Raw genomic sequence first — 24,835 nt, 5'->3', positions numbered from 1 at the left:
CAAACAGAACTCATACCAGGCTTAGCAACTGAGAAGCAGAGGGTGACAGTTTCCATTTTCATAGTACAAGGTTCTCCTAAAAGACTCTGGGAGAGGACAAACAAAATGTTACTCTCTGTAAGGTCTGTTGGGGGAAATGCAATAAACAAAATCTTGTCCCAACCCAGAAATTATCTCCACAAAGGTAGCAGAGAAAGAAACCAGTTTTATTAAGGAATAGGCATTAAACCACAATGTGATGCGTGTCACAGGCAATCCACGAAGAAATTACAAAAACAGAAAGAAATCCAACGCGACTCATCACATACATGTTTTCAAGATGAACAATAACTAGTCCTCAAGGAAGACGACTGCTGATCCCAAATACAGTCCATCCAAACTATACTTGGTAATTGGGGTAAATTTCTTGGTAATTGGGGTGCTGGACTCTGTTAGCTAATTGATTTCAACCAAAAGTCGGGGATAAGGAGGTCTTTATGACAGGAAGTAGTTTTACCATCTGGAGCAAGGTAGCCGTGAAGTTAGGCTCCAATAACTCCAGAGAAACAGGGAGATAAGGGCACTATCTCTCTTGATGTTACATTTCAAAGAGATGGCCCCCAGATCCTTGAGAAAAACATTCCCAGGTCCTAAAGCTGACAAAAGACTTTTTCTAAAAAGATGTATTTCAAAAAGATAGAGAAAGTACTTACATTTACCAGTTTTTTAAGGTAAATGTTCTTACAAAAGGAAGGGGCGGGAAATCTCTTGTTTTCAATAGGAGAAGTTAAGCCTTTTGTTTTTCATTCTGTTTTTTTGTTTGTTTTACTACAGGTCTTATTTTCAATGATCTGTGTTAGGGCTTCCCTAGGGACTTAGGCACTTCCTCAGATTCCCAAATCACTGAAGGTAAAATTAAGTGCAATGAACTATTTAGTTAATTGTTATATCTAAGTCCTTCTTAAGAAAAAAAAAAAAAGAAAGGAGACAAGGAGGGGTAAGATAAAAGAGAAAAATATATAAAGAAAATAAAAAGGAAATACCAGCAGTTCACAGATTTGTTTCAAGTTATTTAGCAGTTATTAAACGGATCTCTATTGTGGAAAAGAGATTTGATTTTAAAAAAGGAAAATTGAGGAAGTAAAGGTTTTGTCTCCATTAATTTTATCCTATTCCCAGGCTATTCACAGATCCTTCCTCTCACTCTGTCTGAAATCCCCCAAATGTTGGTCACAGGGGGAAGCAGGAAAGAGGGTGTAAAAAGACTTCGCAGCAATTTGTCACCAACCCAAGAAAAACTCTTCAAACTGTTGTAGGTCCTTTGGGCTCATCACTCCAGACATGCTGGACTCTCTACTCCCAGCAGACACCAAGTCATCTCTTTTTAGGACTTCCCACCTGGCCCCTTCTACACAAAACACTTTTGTCACTAGCTCCACTCCCATCTCCAACTCGTCCCCTAGTTAACTCCCTCTTGTCCTTCATGTCTTGGTTTCAAAGCCATTTCCTCTGAAGTCCCACAGGTAGGTGCCCCTCTCACATGCTTCCATGGTTCCTCATGCAGCCCCTCTGTAGCACATCACACCTGCATTCACAGGTAAGGCACATTCAAGTGCAACTAGGGGTCAGGCAGTAACACAAACGAGTGAGCCTGTGAGGGTCTGAGACCACAGCAGTACTTACCCCCATGTAAACGTGAAAGGTGACAACGTGCTGGCAGCCCTTGCAGCCCTCACTCGCTCTTGGCACCTCCTCAGCCTTGGCGCCCACTCTGGCCGCGCTTGAGGAGCCCTTCAGCCCGCCGCTGCACTGTGGAAGCCCCTTCCTGGGATGGCTGAGGCCAGAGCCGGCTCCCTCAGCCTGCAGGGAGGTGGGGAGGGAGAGGCACGGGCGGGAACCGGGGCTTCGTGGGGCGCTTGGAGGCCAGTTAGGGTTCTGCGTGGGCGTGGGCGTGGGCTTGGCAGGCCCCACACTCCGAGCGGCCGGGGGCTTAGCACCTGGGCCAGCAGCTGCGGAGGGTGCGCCGGGTCCCCCAGCAGTGCTGGCTCATGGGTGCTGTGCTGGATTTCTCCCCCGGCCTTAGCTGCCTCCCCGCAGGGCAGGGCTGGGGACCTGCAGCCCGCCATGCCTGAGCCTCCCCCTCTCCCCCACTGTGGGCTCCTGCACAGCCTGAGCCTCCCCAAGGAGCACCGCCCCCTGCTCCGCAGCGCCCAGTCCCAGTCTAGCTCAGGGTTTGTAAATGCACCAATCAGCACCCTGTGTCTAGCTCAAGGTTTGTAAATGCACCAATCAGCACTCTGTGCACCAATCAGCACTCTGTGTCTAGCTGAGCTGGTGGGGACTTGGAGAATCTTTATGTCTAGCTGAGGGATTGTAAATACACCTATCAGCACTGTGTATCTAGCTCAAGGTTTGTAAATGCACCAACCAGCACCCTGTGTCTAGCTCAAGGTTTGTAAATGCACCAATCAGTGCTCTGTGTCTAGCTAATCTAGTGGGGACTTGGAGAACTTTTGTGTCTGGCTCAGGGATTGTAAATGCACCAATCAGCACCCTGTCAAAACGGACCAATCAGCTCTCTATAAAACAGACCAATCAGCTCTCTGTAAAATGGACCAATCACCAGGATGTGGGTTGGGCCAGATAAGGGAATAAAAGCAGGCTGCCCAAACCAGCAGTGGCAACCTGCTCAGGTCCCCTTCCACACTGTGGAAGCTTTATTCTTTAGCTCTTTGCAATATATCTTGCTACTGCTCACTCTTTGGGTCCACACTGCCTTTGTGAGCTGTAACACTCACTGCAAAGGTCTGCAGCTTCACTCCTGAAGCCAGTGAGACCATGAAACCACCGAGAGGAACAAACAACTCCAGATGCGCTGCCTTAAGAGCTGTAACGCTCGCCGCGAAGGTCTGCGGCTTCACTCGTGAGCCAACAAGACCACGAACCCACCAGAAGGAATAAACTCCGAACACATCCGAACATCAGAAGGAACAAACTCCAGACACGCTGCCTTTAAGAACTGTAACACTCACCATGAGGGTCCGTGGCTTCATTCTTGAAGTCAGTGAGACCAAGAACCCACCAATTCTGGACACAAAGGCATTCAACTCACTTTCTTCTAAACATGCACTAGCTAACCACATTGATAAACATATCTGTTGGCCAAATTCGACTAAGTGGTTGTGGAGCTCTGGCAAAGGAGAGAGAAGGCAAATGCTAAATCATGTAGCAAGAGTTAAGGGGTGGACTTCGCTGGGGAAACTTGCAAGCGGAGGCTTATCGAGAAGAAGTCTATGATCTCATCATCCCTTAGAATGCATGCAGAGGAGGGTGTTTATGGACTCAAAAGGTGTCTATTTGGAAAGGGACACTGCCCTTCTGCTATTTTACCTTCCCATAGTGCAAGCCTGAGAACCACCTTATCAGGAGGAGAACAAAGGACATAGGTCCCAGGCAGTCTGAGAGGAGTACCAGGTCTGCAGAGAGTTGTCTGAGAGTGCCAGCTGCCAGCACCAGGCAACCTTGGGCAAAATTCCACAAACAGTTGTGATTGTGTGCTGTGCCTTCCACTGGGGAGAAAAAAGCTCTTCCAAGCACTATGAATTTCCAGGGTCATTCATGAGACAATCTTTTTCATCTCTCTTCCAGAGTGGGCCATCAGGCCACAGCCCCGATTGTTGGTTCTCTCTATCATTTCTGTCTTTACATAGTTATATTCTTGGAGCCTGAGTGCCTGGCATGTAGTAGGAGCTAAAAACATATTTGTTGAATAAATAATCATCTTTATAAGACAAACAAGTATCCTAGTTGCCTGGGATTGCAACCTAGATACCCTGAAAAATTGTCCTGTGAAAATCATAACAGGATACAGGGAGGAAATAATCTATTGTGAGCTGGCTGTTATGACTCTCTCCAGCCCTCCTCCTTTTAGTCAAGCCTCCTTTACTCTCCAGGGCTTTGCTCTACCTCATTAATGTTAATATCTTATCTAACCTTTCCTTGGCTCTCTGCAGTGATGGGACTTCTATTCCACTGTCTAATCTCTCTTACTCTTCATCTTTCAAAACGTCCACCCTAAACTTTTCCTCTTTTTAGCTTCAGGCCATTTCATGCCTCTTCTGAGACTTAATCATCTTTCCATTTGCGTGGTTTTGCTGAGAGAAGTGGACTGAAAAATGCAGAAGGATTTTAGGAAATAAGGGAGAAATCCTGTATCAGGCACATTCTTACAAGCAGTAAAAGATTCGTTCATCACTTATCCCCGCTTTCCACTGGGAGTTGAGGTCCTCCTGGTGGAGAATTTGATGTCAAGCCACGGGCAGGGGAATGAATAGATCTGCCTGCCAGCCTGAACGCAGAATAAAATGAGAGTGCAGCACCTGCGATTTCTTCTGAGTTCCCACACTGCTTCCAAGAGGCCCGTAGTTTTCTATCAAGGTCACTGTCTCTGCAGATCAATAAGCAAAGGAGATCTCAGATTTTAAGGGCCCTTTTTGGTAGCGCCAAGACCACAGGGAAGCATAAGGAGGTGAGAGAGTTAAGAGCTCAGTTCACAGGTATTTAGATCTCAAATGTTTCTAGACATAATACGACAGCCTTTAGCTTCCTCAGACAGCACCTGTATGCAGGCTATTTAAGTCTGAGAAAAAAACATAAAACAAACCATCAAAACAGGACCATGAGCATTACAGCAACCCAGGTGCCACCATTACCGAGCAGTTTGAGGCACCCAGAAGCATCAGACAGTGGGGCTGAGTAGGAAAAGCAATCAGATGTGAAGATTTCAGTCAGGGAACAACTTTGGATTGCTCACTCTCTGATTAAGTGCTCAAAAAATGGAGTTCTAACTTTATATTCCATCCCTCACTCTGAGTCATGATTGCACTGTAAAATATCCTTATCAAACATGAGGGGGGAAATTAATAAGCTCAAGGAATGACTGAGATTACTTCAGCAAAAGAAAGAAGGCAAGAAAATAATGTCTCCGATGTAACTATTCAGGTCAGGGCAAGAGTTGGAGAGCAGATAGTAACATCCTTAATGATACTCAAAATGTGTAGCCTCAAGTAGAGAGGACCAGGCTAGCAAGAAGCAATAGAAGCAACAGAGCAGAGAGAACCAATACAATCAAAAAATAAACAGTTGCTCTCATTTTTGTCTAAAAAGGCCATGTCAATAATCTTGATAAACTGTGAACAAATCATGGGCATGCACTTACGACTGTGTTTACTCTTATTTTTCTCTTTCCCAAAAGAACACTAAAGGTTGCACTTTGAGCTCACCTTCAAGAAATGCAACATGAAAAGGCAATTTCAGAACAGCAGGGCATGGCTTCTGACATCTGATAGACAGCCTAAACACATTTCATCTTATCAGCTCCTCTCACTCTCCCTCCCCTCCTTTTTCATTATTCCCCAGTGCAGCCATCTTTTGCTTTTCCTCAAATCCCTGACTCCCACCTCACTCATGGAAGATTTTAAAAGAAAAACATGTTTTTTATTAAAGTCATATACAAAGCATCCCTGGGTCCTTTGCCCTCTGGCAAGTGTACATATTGGTTTGCTTCGTTTAGGAAAAGAAATCAGTGTTGTATTTTCTTCCACATCTGGACGTCAAAATAGTTAAACTGGGTATCTTCCTCTCAGTTGATGGCACTTACACAAAGCCATTCCAATCAGCGTGGCCGGTTTTTATTCTTTGGGTTCTGTGAATTAAAAGAGTTTCAGGCCGGGGGCAGTGGCTCACACCTGTAATCCCAGCACTTTGGGAGGCCGAGTCGGGCGGATTACAAGGTCAGGAGTTCGAGACCAGCCTGGCCAATATGGTGAAACCCCATCTCTACTAAAAATACAAAAATTAGCCGGATGTGGTGGCACACGCCTGTAGTCCCAGCTACTCAGGAGGCAGAGACAGGAGAATCGCTTGAACCTGGAAGGCAGAGGTTGCTGTGAGCCAAGATCGCGCCACTGCACTCCAGCCTGGGTGACAAAGCGAGACTACAACTCAAAAAAAAAAAAAGTTTCAAAATTATATTGCCAGAATATGATCTAGATCTATAGAAACATATTTTGATATAAACAAAACTCAACTAGGTCGAGAAAAGAAAAAGAAATCTATGACCAAGAAGCTCCAAAGAGGAGTAACGAAGGGAAATAATGAAATTATCCAAGTAATTCAGTACAGCCAGCAAACTGGAGGGGATGAGATGGAAGGTAATGTTTCATGACTTACCTGATTTAGCTACACATATCAATCAAATTCAAGGGGGGCGGAAGAGAGCGATAAAGCCATTATTAAATTAATAAACAATGCCTAGAGATATATGTATTTTCCTATTCTCCCCTCCAGCTAAGGGTTACTTTATTTAATTGATCCCTGTCATCATGACCATATGACAGCAAAGTAGAGCAATATTTTATTGTGTGATAAAAATAGAAATTGTGCTATTGTTGACCACTTTGTTCCCAGAGATGACAGGTAGACAGAGGAAGCATATAGCACAAACGGTAAGAGCATAGGTTTTGGAGTCAGATCACTGAGACTCAAATCTCAGCTCTGCCATTTGCTGGGCTGATAAGTACACCTCTCCAAGCCTGAGTTCCCCATGTGTAAGACTGGGTGACAACAGTTCCTACCACATAAAGTGTGGTAAAAATTAAATAATAAGTTAAACCGTGACAGCTGTTTGCAGAGTTCCTGGTGTACAGACATGCAAATACAGATGTCCCCACTCAGGGTCTGCCAGCTGCTATTATTACCATTATTACCACTTCTAAGTCTAAAAGTCTTGATGGGAATAACGTATCAAGGGCAAATTGAATAAACAAATTATCAGCATGAGAGCAGATATGTCTACCTATATAGAGTTTACACATTTACTAAAGGTGAATAGCATTTTTCAGACTTGAGGCATGGGTATGTATAAACTTCTTTTCCTCCATAAATTGATTGAACAAAGAATTTCTAACATCTACTTTGTGTACAGAAACAGATCATTTTAGCCACATCATGAGGTAATGAGCTATTTGCTGCATAAATGAATTTTCTGAATGTGAAAAGGTGAAACTTTTAATAGAGAGCCAGAGATAGAGATTAGGAGAGAGGGATAGAAAGGGGGTTGGGGGAGTATTAATGGAAATCATTTTTTAAGGCAATAAGAACTCACTTGGGTTTTAAAATGTAACCTTTCCTGAAAGACATGTCACTGATATCAACATGAGCTATATTGCTCCACGCTGGCTCCTATTTTCCCTAAATAGAAATGTTCTCACTGCACAGTGGAGTGTAGTATGAAGAACTCTCTGCCTCTGCACAGAGCGGCCTCTAGCTGCTATCCTTTTCAAATTCCTCTTTCAACATGTGGTTCTGTGTCTCCCCAGCTTCTTACTCTCATTTGCTTGTTTGTTTGTTTGGGCAGTGTTTATCAAATATAGTGTGTCAGGGATTGTGCAGAGAACGCAAAGATAAATAGGACACTATTAACTGCCCTAAAGGAGACTGCAACATAAAAGAATATATAAATGTTGATTATTATCTCTTACTCTACATAATATGTGTGTTTCTTTTACATTTCTTTCCCCACCACCCAAACTTCTGTCTTTCTTCCTTCTGCTGAAAGCAAAGAAACCAATTAGCCAAGCTGGTTGAAATTATGTTTTTAATGGAAGCAAGTGGGTTCTGAGTCAGAGGTTCTCCTTTTAGTAAAACGCATGAAATTTATTTTTAATAACCTTGATGCATCTAGTTCAACTGTTTGGAAGCAATTTGTTTTACTTTATTATTTTCTGTAGTGTTCCAAACAGATGAGGTTGTCAGAGTAATTACCTCTGGATAAGTGAGGAATTGGTATATTATAGTAAATAAAAGCTTATGCGGTTAGTCCACACTTCCAAACGTGTCTGTATCATAAAGCCTGAATGTTAAGTGATATTTGTGGTATTTCTGCAATAGTTTTGGCAATGAAGGCTGTCCTTCAAATTCTCATTTTAAAAACTGGTATCTAACTTTAGAGCACTCATTTATCTCAGATCACACAGACATATTTTTAATATTAGGATTAGGGAGGAAATATTACTTTAAACAATAAATATGTCATATAATTCATCACCTCTAAGAGGTTGCATAGCCTGCACATATAAATAAGATTAAAAATGACCTAAGGAGAGACGGCAAGATGTCAGCCTGACTATGCTTTTGAGTCTTTCCAAAACAAACATGAGAAACAAAACAATCAAAAAATATATAGATGGTGTAACTAGAATGGCAAACAAACAAAAAACCCACAGATAATATTTTTAAAGGCCTTTTTTCTCTTCATTTTTAAACTCTTTAAAAGATAGGTGTTTAAAGCAAATATAGTGACAGTAAATTGTGGGGCTTATAATATATGTAGAAGTAAAATATATAATAACAATAGCACAAAGGACAAAAGGGAAAAACTAGAATGAAGTGGCATAATATTGTTTGAGGGCAGACTGTAGTAAGTCAAAGACATGTATTGTAAAGCCTAGGGCAATCACTAAAAACTAAAACAAAAAGGTATGCCAAAAAGCCAATAGTGGAAATAAAGTAGAGTCACAAAAAAATAAACAGTTAATCCATCAAAGACACTGTAGGGGTAAGGGGAAACTTCCCCATGATCCTCTAGAGGTTCACTGAAAATTCCTGACAAAAGGCAGATTAATAGGAGAAAAGGCATACGATTTTTTATTATAGTTTTACACGACATGGTAGCTTTCAAAATGAAGACCGAAAGATACAGGGGAAATAAATGTCCATTTTTATGCTTATGGTCAACAAAGTATGGACAGCCATGTAGAAATATGAGTGGACAAAAATGGTGTCTTTTTTTTTTTTTTTTTTTTGAGATGGAGCTTCACTCTTATTGCCCAGGCTGGAGTGCAATGGCACAATCTCGGCTCACCACAACCTCTGCTTCCTGGGTTCAAGTGATTCTCCTGCCTCAGCCTCCCGAGTAGCTGGGATTACAGGCATGCACCACCACGCCCAGCTAATTTTTGTATTTTTTAGTAGAGACAGGGTTTCTCCATATTGGTCAGGTCTCGAACTCCCAACCTCAGGTGATCCGCCCACCTCGGCTTCCCAAAGTGTTGGGATTACAGGCGTGGGCCACCATGCTCGGCTTATAATGGAATGTCTTAATGCTGACAAACAGTGGGGAAACCCAGCAAGGCCTGTCTGTTCAGATTCTTCTTGGCCTCTCTGTGCAGCATGTGGTAGGACCCTCTCTGGAATGGGGGCTCTTATGACCTACACTCAAACAAGGTAGGTCAGATAATTCCTTTATGGCCAGTTTTTACATAGAAAGGCAGGGAGAAAGTTATAGGGTAATATTTTTAGGTTGTACAGCTGTCTTTGGAAAAAGGGGTTTGGTTTCTATGACATGCCTTGGGGAACAGGGATTCTAGTTTCTATGACGTTAGCCTTTAAGGAGAATGAGAGGCCAGAGATAGAAGAGTAAAGGAAGGTCAGAGAAAAACTTTCACTTCTGAAGCTGCTTCTTTGGGCTTCATTTGGGGCTATTGTTTTCTGAGCTCCCACAACCAGAAAAGAGGTCAAAGGGAACAGAGAACAATGGGACAAATAGAATACAAACAGCAAGATATTAGATTTAAGCCAGACCATATTGATAAAAAGTCTAAGAAAATCAAGATCCAATTTTTTACTATATATAAGAAATTCACTTTAAATACACAGATATAGATAGTTTAAAGGTAAGCATATGAAAAGATATACCATGCAAGTACTCAATAAAAGCTGGTATGGCCATATTAATATCAGACAAAACAGACTCTAGAACAAACAATATATAGATTTAAAGAATGGCATTTCATGATGATGGAAAGAAAACATAAGAATCCTAAATGCATATTCACCAAATAACAGAGTTTTTAAATATATGGAAAAAAAACTTTACAGAATTGAAAAGAGATAGAGACAAATGATTATACTGGACAATGCTCTGCTCTCTAGAGATTGATGAAAGAAGAAAAAAAACCAAAACCACGCACATACATAGGCACACACACACACACACAGGCAGACACACACACACACAGGCAGACACACACACACACAAACACATACACACACACACGGTTATATAGAATACTATGAAAAAACTTAACCTAATTGCCATTTATAGAAACACAACCCCAAGATAGCAAGGTAGACTTTTGTTTCAAATTCATATAAGACAGTCATCATAAGAGACTCTAATTGGGCCATAAAACAAGTTCAAATAAATTACAAGATTAAAATCATACAGAGAAGGTTATCTGGCTCCAATAGAATGGAACAAAATTCAATAACAAGATATCTGGAAAATTTCCAAATATTTGGAACTTAAGCAATGTACTTCTAAATAACCCAAGAGTGAAAGAAGAAATCACAAGGGAAATTGCATTACCTATTTAGAACCAAATGAAAATAAAAATACATCAAAATTTGAAAGATGCAGCTAAAACAGTTCTTAGAGGAAAACTTAGGGTCTGAGATACTTATATTAGAAAAGATACATAATCTAAAACATGATCCAAACGGTAACCACAGGAAACTAGAAAAGCAAATTAAATCCAAAGTACACAAAGTAAGGAAATAATAAAGATAATAGAAGTCAATGAAATAGAAGTGGACAGAAAGTAGAAAAAAATAATAAATTCAAAAGCTGCTTCTTTGAAAATTCAATAAAATTGATAAATGTCTGGAAATATTGATCAAAGGGAAAAAGAGAGAAGACATAAGGAACGCTTCCTACCCCATGGTAAACATCCTCAACATGTTTCTTCAGCAATATTTAAAAATTGGTAGGAACTGGTGACTGCTATGTGCCATCCATTTTTTTCTCTTTCCAAATGAGAGTATTTATTGATGCTACCTTGTCACTCTTCCATCAAAATATGCTGGGGAGAGGTGGAGGTAAACAGGCAAATCATCTTTTTGAGTCAGAAAACAACAGATGTTGGCAGGAATGCAGAGAAAATGGAACACTTACACACTGCTGGTGGGAATGTAATTTACGTTTACAACCTCTAGGGAAAGCAGTATGGAGGTTTCTCAAAGAACTGAAACTAGAACTACCATTTGACCTAGCAATCACACTACTGGATATCTACCCAAAGGAATATAAATTATTCTAGCAAAAAGACACCTGCCTTGTATGTTTATTGCAGCACTATTCACAATAGCAAAGTCATGGAATCAACCTAAGTGCCTATCAGCAGTGGATTGGATAAAAAAAAAAAATTTGGCACATATATCACAGATAACAGCCATTAAAAAAAAAAGAATGAAATCATGTATTTTGTAGCAACATGGATAGAGCTGGAGGCCATTATCCTAAGTGACATGACTCAGAAACAGAAAATCAAATACTGCATGTTTTCACTTATAAGTGGGAGCTAAGCAGTGGGTACACACGGACAATACACAGAGGACTAATAGACACTGGGTACTCCACAAGAGGGCAGGGTGGGAGGGGAATGACAGTTGAAAAATTACTTACTGCATAAAATGTTCATTCTTCAAGGAAGGGTGCACTAAAAGCCCAGACTTCATCACTATGCAATATATCATCAAACAAAACTGTAGGAGATTGGTCAGAGTGGTGGGAGAAACTATAGGAAAAGGAGTAGGTCTTCTGAAAGGTCAGAAGGCTCTGCATAGCTTTGGGGGAGAATAGATGAAGGCAGCTGTTCTCTAGCCCTGAGGCAGAGGGCAAGGAGTAGGTACAAGGGAGTGTAGGGGAATTTATCTTAAACAGGTTTGTTTACTTATGTTGACCAGGAGCTAATGTTTTATCATCCAGGCTTCATGAGGTTCCCTGAAAGAGGAACAATAAATGTTAATTACCCACAGATTGTGTTTGCTCCAGGCTTTTGGCATTGTGCCCACACTGAATAAAGGCAAGCAGCTCCAGCTTCTCAGGGCTGCTGCACTTCGGCCACTAGAGCCCACCAGTCTCCTAGCTGCTCTTACACTGCATACCTGTGTCTGAGTACTCCTTTCATCTGTAGGCCGGCCAGGGTCCACAAGACAGACCCAGCACAAAATTGCACATATACCTTGTGAATCTACAAAAATTAAAATTAAAATTTTTTTATTAAATTATTTTAATTTAAAAAATTTAATCATATTTTTGTGATAGTGAGAGGTGACAACGTGTTAGCAGCCCTCACTCGCTCTCAGCGCCTCCTTGGCCTCAGCGTCCGCTCTGGCCACTCTTGAGGAGCCCTTCAGCCTGCTGCTGCACTGTGGGAACCCCTCTCTGGGCCAGTCGAGGCCGGAGCCAGCTCCCTTGGCTTGTGGGGAGGTGTGGAGGGAGAGGTGCAGGTGGGAAACCAGGCTGCGCGCGGCACTCACAGGCCAGCACGAGTTCCAAGTGGGGGCGGGCTCTGCAAGCCCCGCACTCCGAGCAGCCAGCTGGCACTGCCGGCCCCGGGCAGTGAGGGGCTTAGCACCCGGGCCAGCAGCTGCAGAGGGGGCACCAGGTCCCCCAGCACTGCCAGCCTGCCCACGCCACGCTCGAATTCTCACCGGGCCTCAGCCGCCTCCCCACAGGGCAGGGCTGGGGACCTGCAGCCCGCCATGCCCAAGCCCCCCACCATGGTGGGCTCCCACGCAGCCTGAGCCTCCCCAACGGGCGCTGCCCCTTGCTCTGTGGTGCCTGGTCCCATCGGCTGCCCAAGGGCTGAGGAGTGCAGGCACATGGCGCAGGACTGGCGGCAACTCCACCCGCAGCCCTGACACGGGATCCCCTAGGCGAAGCCAGCTGGGCTCCTGAGTCAGGTGGGGACTTGGAGAACTTTTATGTCTAGCGGGAGGATTGTATATGCACCAATCAGCATTCTGTGTCTTGCTCAGGGTTCATGGATGTACCAGTCAGCACTCTATATCTAGCTAATCTGGTGGGGACTTGGAGAACTTTTATGTCTAGCTAAAGCATTGTAAATACACCAATCAGCACTCTGTGTCTAGCTCAAGGTTTGTAAATGCACCAATCAGCACCCTGTGTCTAGCTCAAGGTTTGTAAACGCACCAATCAGGGCTCCGTGTCTAGTTAATCTAGTGGGGACTTGGAGAACTTTTCGGTCTAGCTAGAGGATTGTAAATACACCAATCAGCAATCTGTGTCTAGCTCAGGGATTGTAAACACACACCGATCAGCACCCTGTAAAAATGGACCAATCAGCTCTCTGTAAAACAGACCAATCAGCTCACTGTAAAATGGGCCAATCAGCAGGATGCAGGTGGGGTCAGATAAGGGAACAGAAGCAGGCTGCCCGAGCCAGCAGCAACAACCCGCTTGGGTCCCCTGCCACACTGTGGAAGCTTTGTTCTTTCGCTCTTTGCAATAAATCTTGCTGCTGCCCACTCTTTGGGTCTGCACCGCCTTTGTGAGCTGTAACACTCACCACAAAGGTCTGCAGCTTCACTCTTGAGGCCAGCGAGACCATGAACCCAGCGGGAGGAATTGACAACTCCAGATGGGAGGAACGAACAACTCCAGAGATACCGCCTTAAGAGCTCTAACACTCACAGCGAAGGTCTGCAGCTTCACTCCTGAAGCCAGCAAGACCACGAACCCACCAGAAGGAAGAAACTCTGAACACGTCCAAACATCAGAAGGAACAAACTCCGGACACACCATCTTTAAGAACTGTAACACTCACCGCGAGGATCCGCAGCTTCATTCTTGAAGTCAATGAGACCAAGAATCCACCAATTTCGGACACAATGGTACTAGTTTTGGGTAGTTTTGTTGGCTTATCGTTTAGTGTTTTTGTTCATTCTCTTCCCACTCAAGAATCACATCTGGAACTAATAAAATATGATCACAAAATACTAATCTTTGGGCCAACATCAAGATTGAATGGAACTTTGGAGAAATCTACTTTGGGAAAGGGCAAGGGAATTTCTATGTAGGAGCAAACAAGACAGCAACTATGTAGGTTGTATTATTTTGCTTAAGTATTTACTACTAGATGTGCTGGTGTGAACTCCTCTGCAGGAAAGGGGTATTCCTGCAGAGAATTACATATACTAACCCATTGCCATGACTTGCAGAGCCTCCTAAGAGAAGAGTGCGCTTCCCACTAGAACTCAGCCTGTAATTTTCTGCTCCATTATTGAAAGCCGCAGGATCTATCACTCCAACAAGCAAAGGCATAGCACAGCTATATGTGGCCTGAAACCAATGCAGTTTGGGTGACTGTATTTTTAAAAAAAGAACACAAAATTGTGACTATAAAGTTACAAGTGAAAATGATTATTTAAAATGAAAATAGTAAAAAAGTTACAAATTCTAAAAAGCTGACAAAGTTATCAATCACAAAGTCCAGAAAAATGCATAGTATTTAGACTGACACACATCTGTAATACTTTTTCCTATATATTTTTGGTTACATTGCTTTGTTTTTTTACATGACAATGATTTTGTAAAAAGAGAAACAATTCTTCCTAAAGAGAAAAAAAATAATTCTTCCCCTTAACCTGGTTGATCAAAATTTATATTTTCATGATGGATAGTTAAGAAAAGTTTATTTCAACCTCACAAACTCCTGATTAGTAATTTCTGTACAGTGACTAGTCATACATACTTTGAATTTATGGCACTTATTAACTAATTTATTGTTGATGTCCTTGTTGCAATGGCCTAGTGAGGGTTCTATGTTGGATCCTAAAACTCGGCATCCTGATGCAGGTCATCTGGCACAGTGAATGAGGAGAAATATTCCTGGAAGGCATTCCAACTATGAGACAGCTAGCAGTAATTCATGCACAAAATGATGGCAAACTACATAAATAGATCATCCTAAACTCACACTAAATGTATATTAAATTCAGTTTCCCCTTCACAAAGATGTTCTTAGTGATAGATGTTTTGAACCAGCAATTCCATTTCCAAAGATCTATCCCAAATATCCAGTGGCAAAATTATTAAATATTTTTTGCACAAGACAATTGTTTTTAATACAAAAAGGCTGGAAACAACTTAATTGTCATTAATAAGGAGCTGGTTTAATAACGTAAAATACATCCACAAATGGAGTACCCTGTAACTGCAATAAGAAATGAAGAAATCTCTATGTTCAGCTATGTAGCCATCTCCTAGATATGTTAAGAGAAAAATGGAAGTTGCAGAATAGTGTGAAGGGCATGCTACCTTTTAATCTAAGAAGGTGGGAAATAATATAAACATATACGTATTTGCTCATAAAATTTATTTATTCATTAATACTTATTTATTTATCTATTTATTTTTGAGACAGAGTTTCGCTCTTGTTGCCCAGGCTGGAGTGCAAAGGCATGATCTCAGCTCACCGCAACCTCTGCCTCCCAGGTTCAAGAGATTCTCCTGCCTCAGCCTCCCAAGTAGCTGGGATTATAGGCATGCGCCACCACAACTGGCTAATTTTGTAGAGACAGGGTTTCTCCATGTTGGTCAGGCTGGTCTCCAACTCCCCACCTCAGGTGATCAGCACACCTTGGCCTCCCAAAGTGCTGGGATTACAGGCGTGAGCCACTGCGACCCGCCTGCTCATAAATTTTAAATGGAAACATAAACCAAAAGTTTATAAGACTATACAAGAGAAAGAACAGGGTGAGGAGACAGGGACAAAATATACTGAATATACTTTGTTTTGAAAATGTGACTTTGAAGCCTGTAACTATTTATCATAAGTTTAAAACAAAATTAAACAGAAATGAAAGCCCCTTAAAATCAAAAGCAAAACTGAAACAAAAGAAACTGTGTACCATGCAAAGAATAATTATTTCAAATGACTTTAAAACACAACAATTTGGCTGGGCACGGTGGCTCACACCTGTAATCCCAGCACTTTGGGAGGCCAAGGCAGGTGGATCATGAGGTCAGGAGATTGAGACCATCCTGGCTAACATGGTGAAACCCCAAAATTAGCCGGTCGTGGTGGCAGGCACCTGTAGTCCCAGCTACTTGGGAGGCTGAGGCAGGAGAATGGCGTGAACTCGGGAGGTGGAGCTTGCAGTGAGCCGAGATCACGCCGCTGCACTCCAGCCTGGGTGACAGAGCAAGACTCCATCTCAGAAAAAAAAAAAAACGCAATAATTTGAGCCTATCTGCCTAATGTGATATATCGTAAAAAATAACTGCAAAGAAATTCTTAAATTTTTCCACTATCATATCGATAGTAATAATATTCTTTAGATAATTGTGATACTATTATGTGTGTAAAATTCACATATGCACAACACACACACAGCCGGATTGATCACGTAATAATTAAGTCAATGTAGTTAGGACGTAACCTAACTACATTGACTTTTAGCAAACGTGAAATCATAAAATATTATATTCAAAAAGGTAAAACCCTGTAACATTACATTTCAATTGGAAATACAGTACTTACTTTTCTTTTTAAAAATATGTTTTTTAGCTCCTTCCATTAAAATAATCTAAAAAAAAAATGACCAGTCACCACTTCTAATGCCTTAATAGCAATTTCTAAATTCTATTTCCCAAGAAAGGAACAGGGCTCTTCAAAAAATAGTCGATTTCAGGCAGAGGACAGAGAATGTACATGAAAGCCTAGAAAACCTTGTTGTACTAGAAAGTAAAAAAGCTATAAAAGATTACTGAAACTTTACCAATAGCACTCAGAAGGAAATTCAGTCTAAGCATCAAAAAGAATAAAAACTGCGATATATTGAAATACATAGAATCTGTTTAGAAAAATAACTTCATTATAATATGAAAAAATCCCACATCTGTCGTGGTTAGAGAATGTTAGCAGAACAACTCATTGGTCTGAAACTGATAAAAGGAAAAAATCATACATAATGTGCTAACATACTCATGAAACAATGCTGGCATGAATACAGAAAACTATTAAAGATGGTTACATCTGGCCCGGCACGGTGGCTCAAGCCTGTAATCCAAGCACTTTGGGAGGCCAAGGCGGGTGGATCACGAGGTCAGGAGATCGAGACCATCCTGGCTAACACGGTGAAACCCCGTCTCTACTAAACATACAAAAAAAAAAAAAATTAGCCAGGCATGGTGGCGGCGGGTGCCTGTAGTCCCAGCTACTCGGGAGGCTGAAGCAAGAGAATGGCGTGAACCTGGGAGGTGGAGCTGGCAGTGAGCCGAGATCGCGCCACTGCACTCTAGCCTGGGCAACAGAGCGAGACTCTGTCTCAAAAAAAAAAAAAAAAAAAAAAAAAAAAAAAAAAAGATGGTTACATCTGAGAGGTGGGCCCAGGAAAAAGGGGGGATGAAAAAGGAGATTTTTTTACTTTTCACCTATACCCATCTAACATTGTTTGACTTTTTCTCAATACCATGAATACTGCCTTTAATATTTTTAAACTTATTAATTTTTTAAAAGAAATGTTTGAAAAATTGATGGATAGTTGAATCCATGATAAATTACTTAGAGAAGTTGGAATATATCTGGTGAGAATTCCTAATATTTTAAGAAAACCAACCATCTTGTCATTACTCATCCTTTGAGTTGAGTTTTCTGTTACCTGGACGTGAAAGCTGCCTGAAGAACCCAGGCATGATTTCCTATTCTCCACCACCACAGTCACCTTTCTCTGAATTTGTTTCCATATGTGTATGTTCCTCATAAAGTATGACACCCACACCTGAACACAGACCTCGGATTGACGGGCTTAGATCACTATGTTTTGGACCTGATACACCAGACAGCCGAGACTCAAGGAGGCTAAAAGTGCATTCACTATTTTTTTTTTTTTTTTTGAGACGGAGTCTCACTTTGTCACCCACGCTGGAGGGCAGTGGCGCGATCTCAGCTCACTGCAACCTCCACCTCCCCAGTTCAAGCAATTCTCCTACCTCAGCCTCCTGAGTACCTGAGATTACAGATGCATGCCACCATGTCTGCCTAATTTTTGTATTTTTAGTAGAGACGGGGTTTTGCCATGTTGGCCAGGCTGGTCTTGAACTCTTGGCCTCAAGCGATCTGCCTGTCTCAGCCTCCCAAAGTGCTGGGATTATAGGCATCAGAAATTCAGTCCTCAACTCTGTGACCCCAGGATTGATCCACAGAAGCAATTTAGGCTCTTGAAATTTTCTTCGTATTCCTTTATCTCCCAAACTTTATTTTTCCTCATTAAGCTTTGTTTTAATGGGTCTCAAAATTCTGTGATAGATTCTTGGTCAAGTTGTTTCCATTAAAAAGTACTGATTTTAAAAACTAATAACTTAAAACTGCCACACACACACACACACAAATCCACAAAACACTCTCCTTTCCTTGTGAATTTTTTACAATGCACTGTTATCATTAACCAGCCTTTATTAACCTTAAATGGTCAATTGAAACAAATAATTCTGAGACTGTTCTTCCACCACTGATTAAAACCCATTTATGCCTACTGTTCCATTACTGGAATGCTAAGCATGTGGGAGTTATTTATATCCTACTGCTCAAGGTCATTGCCAAGGTCTGAATGCAAAAATTCAAAAAAAAAAATGCAACGTCAGGCATAAAGGGTGAAGACTGGCATGGCAGGTATTAGGGATAATATTCATGTAACCTTCCGAGCTTTCTGGGCAGGCTTGGTGACCTTGCCAGCTCCAGCAGGCTTCTTGTCCCCTGCTTTGATGACATCCATAGCAACTGTCTATCTTATATCACAAACAACAAAACAACCCAGAGGAGTATTGTGAGAGAAGCTCTCAACACACATAGGCTTGCCAGGAACTATACCAAAAATAGCAGCATCACCAGACTTCAAGAATTTAGGATCATCTTCCAGCTCCTTACCAAAATGGTGATCCATCTTTTCCTTCAGTTCAACAAAGTTGCAAGCAATGTGAGTTGTGTGTTAATCCATTACAGGGGCATAACCAACACTGATTTGGCCTGGATGGTTCAGGACAGTTACCTGGGCAGTGAAGCCAGCTTCTTCCACTGGTGGGTCATTTTTGCTGTTACCAGCAGTGTTGCCACAATGAACATCTTTGACAGGCACCTTTTTGACATTGAAGCTTACATTGTCCCTAGGAAGAGCTTCACTCAAAGCTTCATGGTACATTTCAACACATCTTTAGTTGCAATGTTGACTGGAGCAAAGGTGACCACCATGCCGGGTTTGAGAAACCCAGGCTTTGCTCGGCCCACAAAGATAGTATCAGTACCACCAACTCTGCCCACAAAGATAGTATCAGTACCACCAAGTCTGTAGACATCCTGGAGTGGCAGATGCAAGGGCCTGACAGTTGGACAAGTTAGTGATAGGACGCAGTCCAGAGCTTCAGGCAGTGTGGTCCCACTGGCATTGCCATCTTTACGGACGACTTTCCATCCCTTGAACCAAGGCCTGTGAGCACTTGGCTTCAGCATGCTGCCACCATTCCAACCAGAAATGGACACAAATGCTACTGTGTCAAGGTTGTAGCCAATTTTCTTAAGGAAAGTACTGATTTCCTTAACTATTTCCTTGTATCTCTTCTGACTGTAGAGTGGCTCAGTGGAATCTATTTTGCTAACACCAAGGATTTGTTGTTTCACACCCAGTGTGTAAGCCAGGAGAGCATGCTCCTGGATCTGCCCATTCTTAGAGATGCTGGCTTCAAATTCACCAATGCCAGCAGCAACAATCAGGACAGCACAGCCAGCCTAAGATATGCCTGTAACCATGTTTTTGATAAAGTCTCTGTGTCCTGGGGCATTAATGATAGTCACATAGCACTTGCTGGTTTCAAATTTCCATAGGGAGATATCAATGATGACATCAGGCTCAGGCTCAGCTTTTAGTTTATCCAAGACCCAGCCATATTTGAAAGAGCTTTTTCCCTCTCAGCAGCCTCCTCCTCAAATCTTTTGATGATTCTTTTGCCGATACCACCATACCACCACATCTGTAGATCAGATGGCCAGTAGTGGTGGACTTGCCTGAACCTAAGTGTCCAATGACATCAATGTTGGTTGGAGTCTTCTCTTTTCCCCTTTTGGCTTTTAGGCCATGTTTTTCATGACACTTGTGTTCTAGCAGCAAATCCATTGTGAAAACACCCAAACTTTATTGTAATGGATGCTTTCCAGCCTTCTCTTGACTACTGATATTGAAGGTGCATCCCATTTCTATGTTCTAGTCCACTTAACAAATTCTGAATCTCTTATCCTTGTAACTTTTAAATATCTATCTTCCAAGTCACTATCACCTGTGAATACCATAAGTATTTTTCTTTCAGAGACTTTATGACTTCTTGCAAAGCATCATTTACTCTAGTTTCCTCTTAGGACTCTAGGGCTGACTATCTAAATAGTATAATGTTGAGCTCTTGGCCATTTCCTACTTCTGCCCACATATATTCCATTCCACAGGATATAGTCCTTCCTAGAAGACAGAAAATACTTTGATACATATAATATATACAGTGCATCAAATTGAAAGAGCATTCCTGGGCTTCTGAGTCCCAGTCCTTGCTAAATGTCTTTGGGGAAATATTCCAAAAACCCTGAGCCTCGGTTTGTTGTTTTTCTGTTGTTGTTTTCTTGTTTTGTTTTGTTTTTGTTTTTGTTTTTTGATGGAGTCTCACTCTGTCACCCAAGCTGCAGTGCAATGGTGGGATCTCAGCTCACTGCAACCTCCACCTCCCAGGTTCAAGTGATTCTCTCACCTCAGTCTCCCATGTAGCTGAGATTACAGGTGTCTGCCACCATGCCCAGCTAATTTTTGTATTTTTAGTAGAGATAGGGTTTCACCATGTTGGCCAGGCTGGTCTCGAACTCTTGACCTCAGGCAATCTGCCCACCTTGGCCTCCCAAATTGCTGAGATTAAATTGGTGGTTCAGTGGTAGAATTCTCACCTGCCAAAGTGCTGGGATTACAGGCATGAGCCACCACATCCGGCCCTCAGTTTCTTTATACATAAAAATGGGTAAAAGATGACCTACCCATCTCGTGGATTTGTTGTAAAGATTTAAGGAAATAATATTTGTAAAACCTAATACAGAGAAGGCACTCAAATATTGTTTATTATCATCAATTATATTCTACCTAAAGCTAGGCAAATAACACAGCAGTCATTTTCACATTGCTATTCAAATTAACATTCTTCTACAAAGGCCAGCAGGCATGGGAGCTAGCCCTGGCCTTCTACCCTCTGGAATTCAGTAGTGGAATTCCATCTAAAGTCTAGAATAAAATTAAACTTGATGGGTTTCATCTTTATTCTCTTTCATATATGTCAACCACTGCCAACAGCCATCATGACCTCTGCTTCCAAAGCACTTCAGGACTGATCAAGCAAACTCCTGCTGCACTGGGGGTGAGATTTCCAGGGATTTGAGGTTCAAACACAGGACTGTGGCATGCTGGGGAGATCCCTAGATAGTATCACAGCAACTGCCATAGGTACAGAAAACAGTCACTAAGGAAGCAGGAGAGGTGTGTTTCTCTTTTCATGTGCCTGTCTCTTCACTTACAGAAATATTGACAAGGAGAAAAGAAGCGCTTTGCCAACCAAGCAGAGCTTGTGCTGAACACAACACTTGACCACACTGCTTTCAAGTCTCTCTCATGCTCTCTGCATAGCCAGGACAAAGACATTCAGATGGAGGGTCAGGGCAGGGAGAAAGGAAAAGAGGGGAGAGAAGGTGGGGGTGGGACGGAGATTTAATTCCTTAGCCTAATGTGTTTTATTCCTTTTCTGAAAATAAATAGAAGACTGAGCTCCTGTCAGACCTGTTGATCCAGGACCCCTTGACACTCCATTTTAAAATCAAAGTATTTTGAAACAAAACTTCCTTAATGAGCACCTGGAAGTAGGAATGAGGAAGACTGTTTGAGTGGTTTTCTTTTCAAGTGGAGTCCTTTCTTTTCTGAAAGCTACAGACTCAATGACAATAACTATCTGTGGAACAAATTGAATGAATTTGTGTCTCTCTTGTTTTTCTCTAAGAAACCTTCCAGAATCTGACACTCTAATTAACCAAGGTATCTCTTCTTTTGCTCTGTTCATCCTTAATACACAAACACAAGTGCAGCTCCACCTTGATTGTCAAAGGTGAATACAATCACACAGCATGCTTTTTGGCCAGAAACTTTGATGCCACGTGTAGAAATCACATAGAGGGCAAAGATTTAAGTTCCAGGGATTTTGGAGATGGTGCGGGTGGAGGAAGGGGAGGAAGGAGATGGTTATTGATAGCATAGTAACATCTAGAAAACAGGCTTTCCAACTGGAAAAGCATGTGTTCAGATCTCAGCTCTTCCAATTACTGCCTCTTCAACAGAAATAACATAAATAATGGCCAGGCACAGTGGCTCACACTTGTAATCCCAGCACTTTGGGAGGCCAAGGCAGGTGGATCACTTAAGGTAAGGAGTTCAAGACCAGCCTGGTCAACATAGTGGAACTATGTCTCTACCAAAAATATAAAAATTAGCTGAGTGTGGTGGTGGGCACCTGTAGTCCCAGCTACTTGGGAGGCTGAAGCAGGAGAATCACTTGAGCCCAGGAGGCAGGAGTTACAGTGAGCTAAGATCGCACCACTGTACTTCAGCCTGGGTGACACAGCAAGACTCTATCTCAAAAACAAAACAAAACAAAAAACTGTAAATCAGTTATTCAACTCCCTAACTTTCATTTCCTCATCTGTCAAATGGAGGAAAGAGCAGTGATCAGTAGTTCTGTGGTGGTGATTAAATATACAGAAAGCCCTTAGAAATATGGTCAATAAAAGGCAGCTGGTATTTACACTGTTGTTATGATTATGAATTTTTAAATTAAATACTATTTAAAATAAAATAAAAGAGGCCTATAAACCCGAAAACACGCGCCCAACAATCTTAGACATAAAAGAAAGGTGATTCAATGAAAGAAGGAAAGAAAGCAAAAACCAAGAGAGAAACACAAAGAGGGAGGAAGGAAAGGTAAAGGGAAGGGGACAAGACTGGTGACGCAAGGAGGGGACCTCCAGGAAAGCTCTATACTCGGGGACTGTATGCTCCAGGTCCTGGGGAAAACAGCAAAAGGGGGCACATGTTTTTGCAACAACACCTAAAATATGCAGACTTATCTGTGCCTATTAATGCTACCTCCTTCCCTTCTACCAATTTGAACACTCAACTTTAAATAACTTCCTCAATTTTGAAGGCTCAAGACTTCTCCCTTTAGGAAATAAATTAAGACTCAAATAATCAATATTTCCACAACTCCTCACTCCTGCCCCACCACCCTTATCCACAACAGCTGTTTTCCACCCTCTACCCTCTACTTTCCAAGGGAGTGGTGAGGGAAATGATTGAAATTGCTTTTCCCAGTCTTCTCTTGCTGTAAGAAAAGGTTGCAGTGATAAAGAAATATGGGAAAAAATTAAAAGGCCATGCAGAGCTGAGTGATGCAGGGGAAACTGGCAAAGAGAAAGTGATCAAACAACTCAAAGATATCTGCAAGATACTCTAGCCTATTTGAAGATTAGAGTTATTTAAATTCAGTGTTATTGTTACAGGAATAGGGCAAAGAGACTGTGCTGCTTTGTAAGAAATTTCCATCACCAAAACCATGTTTATAACCTGGAAGAAAAAAAGGATATGTTTTAAGTGTAAAAGCACTGAGCCCTTTCAAATCCCTCCTTCCTTTGTTAATGACATTGTGTTTCTTTGTTCTGGAGTCTCCCAGAATGATGCAGGAGAAAATTTTTCAGGTTAGCTTTGACAATCAAACTCTTTTCTTTACATTTGCATGCTTGGAACTCTCTTGTTAGATATATTTCTACCAAAAGCAAGAAGCTGGGAAACTGTTTTATTCTTGTACAGTTTTATTCTTTCCCCAAAGACCCCCCTTATTATCTCTACTGAGAATTTCAGCATTCTCTCTGTTAAAACTCAGTCTGCCACTTTAGAAGTTAAAGATTAATATGTCTGTGCCTTTAAGTGTAATCTAGATTCTGGAATTAAATTAGGTGTATGGGAAGAATAGAATTAGGACGGCTGGGCTCTAGTCCCAGTACTACCAATAACTAGTGGTGTGACCTTGGGAAAGCCTTCAGTTTCTTTGGAACTCCATCTATAAAGTAAGGTGGTTGGAAATGACAATCTCTAAATACCTTGTGGCTCTAAAATTCTATGTTCTTATGGACGAGGAACTCTCCAACTTAAAAGCTAACTGGTTGCTGATAGTCATTTTCTCAGCTAGTTAATTCAATTCTAAAGAACAAGAACCTGGTATGATATTTTTCTTCAACACACAACTGTCTTTTGAAATAATAACAGCAGAAAAGAGAGGAGCCCACTCTAGCTAGCAGTAAACAATCAGCCTTGGAAAAGACGGCCATGGGAGCCAAGGGAACAATGAGGAAAATTACTGAAATAATCCCTTTGTCCAGTCTCTTTTCTCTGGAAAAGTTGCTATGAAAAGGGAATATAAAAACAATAACAAGGCCATGCAAAGCTGAGCCAGGCAGGGAGGTCGTGTGGGGTGGACGTCATCAAATTCAATGGATCCATCCATTTCCTTTAACCTCATCTTTTCCTTCCTTAAAAGATATACTTTGCCTCCTCCTCATTCCTGCCGTATTGTGAAGCAAAAGAATACTGGCACTTTCTTTTTCTTCTTTATTAGTTCAGGCAAAGGATTCTTCTGCAAAAAGTAAAAAAGAAATCAAACCGAAAATAAGCTTCTGTTCGGGGAAAAGAAATGGTTGGGGTGGGTGAGTTGTCTAAAAATGACTGTGTGGATGGTGCACTTATTAAAAAGTAACAGACTGCAAATCTTCAAATTTAAAAAAGATTTGAAAAGATCTGGGCTCAGGAGGTAGCAGAAAGCTGGTGCAAAACTGAGACAAACAATGAGCCTTGGGGTTTTGCTTTTCTTTTG

The 24,835-nt window shown here is 41.7% G+C and overlaps 1 pseudogene, besides 1 other annotated feature; it reads right to left on the bottom strand.

Annotated features, from left to right (window-relative positions):
* Positions 241-1,042: an enhancer, noted in NCBI's record as "OCT4-NANOG hESC enhancer chr14:82146715-82147516 (GRCh37/hg19 assembly coordinates)". NCBI's record gives its function as "activates a minimal SCP1, AML or CMV promoter by ChIP-STARR-seq in naive and primed H9 embryonic stem cells {active_cell/tissue: H9 hESC(naive and primed)}" and the evidence as "EXISTENCE:reporter gene assay evidence [ECO:0000049][PMID:30033119]".
* EEF1A1P2 (eukaryotic translation elongation factor 1 alpha 1 pseudogene 2) lies at positions 18,110-20,021 on the bottom strand (annotated as a pseudogene).

Source organism: Homo sapiens, chromosome 14 (assembly GCF_000001405.40).
Source record: "Homo sapiens chromosome 14, GRCh38.p14 Primary Assembly".
Classification (NCBI taxonomy): domain Eukaryota; kingdom Metazoa; phylum Chordata; class Mammalia; order Primates; family Hominidae; genus Homo; species Homo sapiens.
The sequence above is the reverse complement of the archived record's forward strand: the minus strand, read 5'-3'. Positions and strand labels throughout refer to the sequence as shown.